A 4998-nucleotide genomic window follows, 5' to 3' on the forward strand; every position below is an offset into this window, starting at 1 on the left:
ATTTAACCCATTTGCTTCAATCTATTTCACAAGCATTTATGCAAACTGGCCTTTTTTTTTTTTTTAAATGAAGGCCCTGAAATCAAGAAGAACTGGGATTGAGACTATAAATGGCTTATCAGGGTTCCTCACTCCACCTGTAGCAAAACTCAGCACAGATGGTCTATGACAATGGATGAACAGCATATTCTTCACATGTAAAGAATTTGGGTGTGAAATACACATAAGCAAAATTTCATCCACTGGGCTGTTGGATTCATGGTGGGGAGGGTTTTTTGTAAAGAAATATACTAAGACAGACCGGGCACAGTGACTCACACCTGTAATCCTAGCTACTCAGGTGGCTGAGGCAGGAGAATCACTTGAACCCAGGAGGCCGAGGCTGCAGTGAATTGAGATCACGCCGCTGTACTCCAGCCTTGATGACCAAGTGAGACTCCATCTCAAAAAAATATATACATAATATAGTGACCAGCCTGGCCAATATAGTGAAACTCCATCTCTACTAAAAATACAAAAAAAACAGCCAGGCATGGTGGCACATGCCTGTAGTTTCAGCTACTCAGGAGGCTGAGGCAGGAGAATTGTTTGAACCTGGGAAGCAGAGGTTGCAGTGAGCCGAGATCATGCCACTGCGATCCAACCTGGGCAACAGAGGCAGACTCCATTGTCTCCTCTGTTGAGAGAGCCATGGAACAGATTCTCCCTCAGAGCCTTCAGAAGGAACCAACCCTGCCTACATCTTGATTTTGGACTTCTGGCCTCCTGAACTGTGAAAGAATAAATTTCTGTTGTTTAAGTCAACCAGTTTGTGGTACTTATTGTTACGTCAGCCCTAGCAAACTAACACACAAGGGTGCTACGATATTACCTCTATTTCACGTACAAGAAACTTGCCCAACATAATCTAGTTAGTTGGCAATGGGTCCTGGATTCAAACTCCAGCCTGGTGCCAGGGTCTATATGCTTTTGCCAACACTTTCCAGATCACTGTGCACATGATGTTGCAAATTTGATCCCTTCTCTCTTTAGTCTAAGTTCTATGGGAACAAACATTATGGCCTCATGTCTGTCGGGTGGAGAGACCACACTGTAACACACTCACGTGTGTGTGTGTGTGTGTGTATGTATATATACACGTGTATATATACACACACATATATGTATGTATACACATATGCATGTATGTATATATATGTGTGTGTGTGTATATATATAGAGAGAGAGAGAGCGAGAGAGAGAGAGAGAAATCCTCAGTTTCTAAGCCTTGTCTGTCTCCATTACCATCCTCATCGGGCAACAATATGAAAATGTTGTGCCCACCCTCGTCACTTTACAGTGAGGGGGCAGAAGCCTGGACGGTGTTCTCCGAGCATCATTCTCATTCCCACCCCTGCTGCGCTTTCAGATATTACCTCGTTCCCTTTCAAATCAGCCAACAGAGCTTGAGATAGAGGAGGATAGAGCAAGAGGGCACTCTCACACAGGGAGTTATGGAGTTCCGCTCCATCCCCAGGGTCCCAGAGCCATCAAGCCCTAGTGTCTCCCTGTTATCCTCATAAAACTGACTCCTTCACACCAACTCCTCTGGTCTAAAGTTTGACTTCAACATCAGCTGACATGCTCTTAATCCTCACTGATTTTCTGACATCTTGGGGTTCGCTTTGTCCTAACCTTGTTCCCCCAGCTCAAGTTTGAGTTTACCATTACTGAAGGGATGTATCCGCTGGAAGTATTCCAGGCCATACATTCAAGGAAGAGCAGCTCCACTCATGGCTGGTGCAGCTGACTGAGCCCACTCCCTCCCACAGGCTATCAAACATCTGGCATTGGACCTCCCTCTCTCTGTAGGCCCCTGTCCCCAAAGCTGCATTGGTGCTTGTGATTTTTACTTTAAAAGAAACTTTTTTCCTGGACTCACAAAGGCAGATGATGCCTCTGCTTGCCTCACTTTTGTGTGTGTGTGGTGGTGAGTTTTGTCGTTTCTGCACTTGTTTTGTGATTGTTGATATTATTCTTATGAACTGAAATCCCAGAAGAATGTGTACCAGGCAGGTTCACTAGACTTGTCCTTTGAAAAAGCCCACACAGACTTTTTTCTGCAGAACTTCCTTTCTGCCACTAGATTTAATCATTAAAGATAGCGATGGGGGCGTCAGGGTAAACAGTGACACAAACAAAACTTCTTGTGTTGGGCACATTTCCTTAGCCTCCAAGATTTTTCAACAGGCCGGCTTTCAGGAAACAATTCTGTTAGAATTCTTGGTAAACTCACCACTGTCCTAAATTGCTTTTAGCTGGTTTGTATCAAGAGCAAGGCAAGGAGAGAGGCAGAATAAATTTCCCCTGGATGAGCTGTATCCTAAAGTGGTATTCCCAGCAAGAGTAAGGGACAAGCAGGGAGAGCCAGGAATTGTCAGCATTGATGAATATTAATTATGTATATACCTGGTGCTGGACAGCTAAGGCACAGGAGTGATGATCGGAAAGCAAGGGACAGGGGATTTTGGAAGCATTATAAACGGTTGTGTTAAAATGAGGTAGCTCATGAGCCTGCAAACAAGGTATCAAAAAGGAGAAGGCAGGTGGACTCTCCTAGGACCATAATATTAAGGTATCCCTGGAATAATTGAATTGATGAAGGAAGGAAAGAGTTGAAGACTATGGAAGAAGAAAGCCTTAGCTAGTGGTTTGCCTACTGTAGACAGAGCACTTTTTTGGCTATTTATTTCCTTGCTTTTTTTTTTTTTTTTTGCCAGATTGCATGTTTGAAATTTTCTTTTTTGATCTTTAAATAGTCCTGGGGGAAACACTTATAAGGCAGACAAGATGTTTGCAAACTTTTGTATTTTTCATTAAAAAATAAAAATTACAGAGGAGGTTGTAGACCAGATCAGTTGAAGTGTAATTAGCTAAGCAAATCCACCCTTTCCTCTGCCATGATTATAGTGAGGTCATTCACCTTAGTTTGTCTATCAGCAAATTGCGGATGCTACATTTTACCAACTAGCTGACTTGGTATTTAAAAGGATTTTAAGCATCTCTAAAACTCTATGTTATATTATAATAAGATTTATAGCTCTGTACATTTTGTGCAGTGATAGAAAGTTACTGCTCTGTATCATCATTATTCTGAAATCTTCAGGTCTTTGCAATAATTTAAGACTGTGACAATGAAGGATTTAGCCAAAGAATCTGGCATATTGCTCTTTTCTTATTCTGCATAAGGTTTTGAATTAATGCAATTGAAATTTTAAGAAATAGTGCTTATATTTCTCAATATCAAGTGAAATTATTAAATTTTTATACTTCTGCTGTATTTCTTAACCAGTTATAAGCATTTTAAAACATGCTTTTTCTATTGTTTATCCTAAATAGGCTTTTGTGGCTATTATTAAAGCACCATTGGTCTCATTGACCAGCTGCCATTCAGTATTTACCAATAAGCAGACAGGCATGAAAGGCCAGATTTGCTTACATGACAGTGATTGTGAGGAACATTTGTAGCACTTTTTTTTTTTTTTGAGACAGAGTCTTGCTCTGTTGCCCAGGCTGGAGTGCAGTGCCATGATCTTGGCTCACTGCAACCTCTGCCTCCAGGGTTCAAGAGATTCTCCTGCTTCAGCCTCCCAAGTAGCTGGGACTACAGTTGCGCACCACTACACCCGGCTAATTTTTTGTATTTTTAGTACAGACAGCATTTCACCGTGTTAGCCGGGATGATCTCGATCTCCTGACCTTGTGATCTGCCTGCTTCAGCCTCCCAAAGTGCTGGGGTTACAGGTGTGATCCACCGTGCCCGGCTATGTAGCACATTTGTTTTTAAAGGCAGCTTCACTTCCACTAGAAGGAATAGCTGAGTTTCAGACATTTCTTTAAATTTTATTGTAGTTTTCTGTTACATTCCTAAATAAGATGAAAAAATACTTAGGAAATCCACAGATTTCAATGAAATAATAGTTTTTTGTCTATAATTGAGAAACACAATCTGATAGTTATGCTGACTACCGAACAGGTCAAAGAAGCACTTTTTAAAAGTATCATGTTCTCAGAGGAAGGAAAGTAGCATTTTGTGAATACCTACGATGAGCCCAGGCACTGTGCTAAATGCTTCTCTAAACTGTCAAATAAAATACTATTTACAAAGCCATGGCATGGTGTAGTGGGTCAAATTGTGTCCCTGCCCCCAAAGATATGTTTAAGTCCTAACCCAAATGTGACCTTATTTGGAAATAAGATTTTTGCAGATTTAATTGAGTTAAGATGACACCATAGTGAATCAGAATGAGCCCTGAATTCAATGACTGGTGTCCTTATAAGAGAAAGGCAAAGGAGATTGGACATAGAGGTACACGGGGAAGAAGGTCATGTGATGACAGAGGTGATTGGAGTAGTACACACACAAGCCAAGGGATGCCAAAGATTGCCTGCAACCATCAGGAGCTAGGAGAGAGGCATGGAACAGATTCTCCCTCAGAGCCTTCAGAAGGAACCAACCCTGCCCACATCTTGATTTTGGACTTCTGGCCTCCTGAACTGTGAAAGAATAAATTTCTGTTGTTTAAGTCACCCAGTTTGTGGTACTTATTGTTACATCAGCCCTAGCAAACTAACACACAAGGGTGCTATGATATTACCTCTATTTCACATACAAGAAACTTGCCCAACATAATCTAGTTAGTTGGCAATGGGTCCTGGATTCAAACTCCAGCCTGGTGCCAGGGTCTATATGCTTTTGCCAACACTTTCCAGATCACTGTGCACATGATGTTGCAAGTTTGATCCCTTCTCTCTTTAGTCTAAATTCTATGGAAACAAACATTATGGCCTCATGTCTGTAGGATGGAGAGACCACCCTGCAGCACACCGACCTGTTTTTAGTACTATTAGTAAGGAATACCCTATGGACTGAAGCCAGCTCCTGGCATATCACAGAGTGTCCCTTATGACAGCAAACTGATGTGAAATTATGCATGAAGTGGTCAGATATCTGAAACA

This window comes from Homo sapiens, chromosome 3, assembly GCF_000001405.40.
Source record: "Homo sapiens chromosome 3, GRCh38.p14 Primary Assembly".
Classification (NCBI taxonomy): Eukaryota; Metazoa; Chordata; class Mammalia; order Primates; family Hominidae; genus Homo; species Homo sapiens.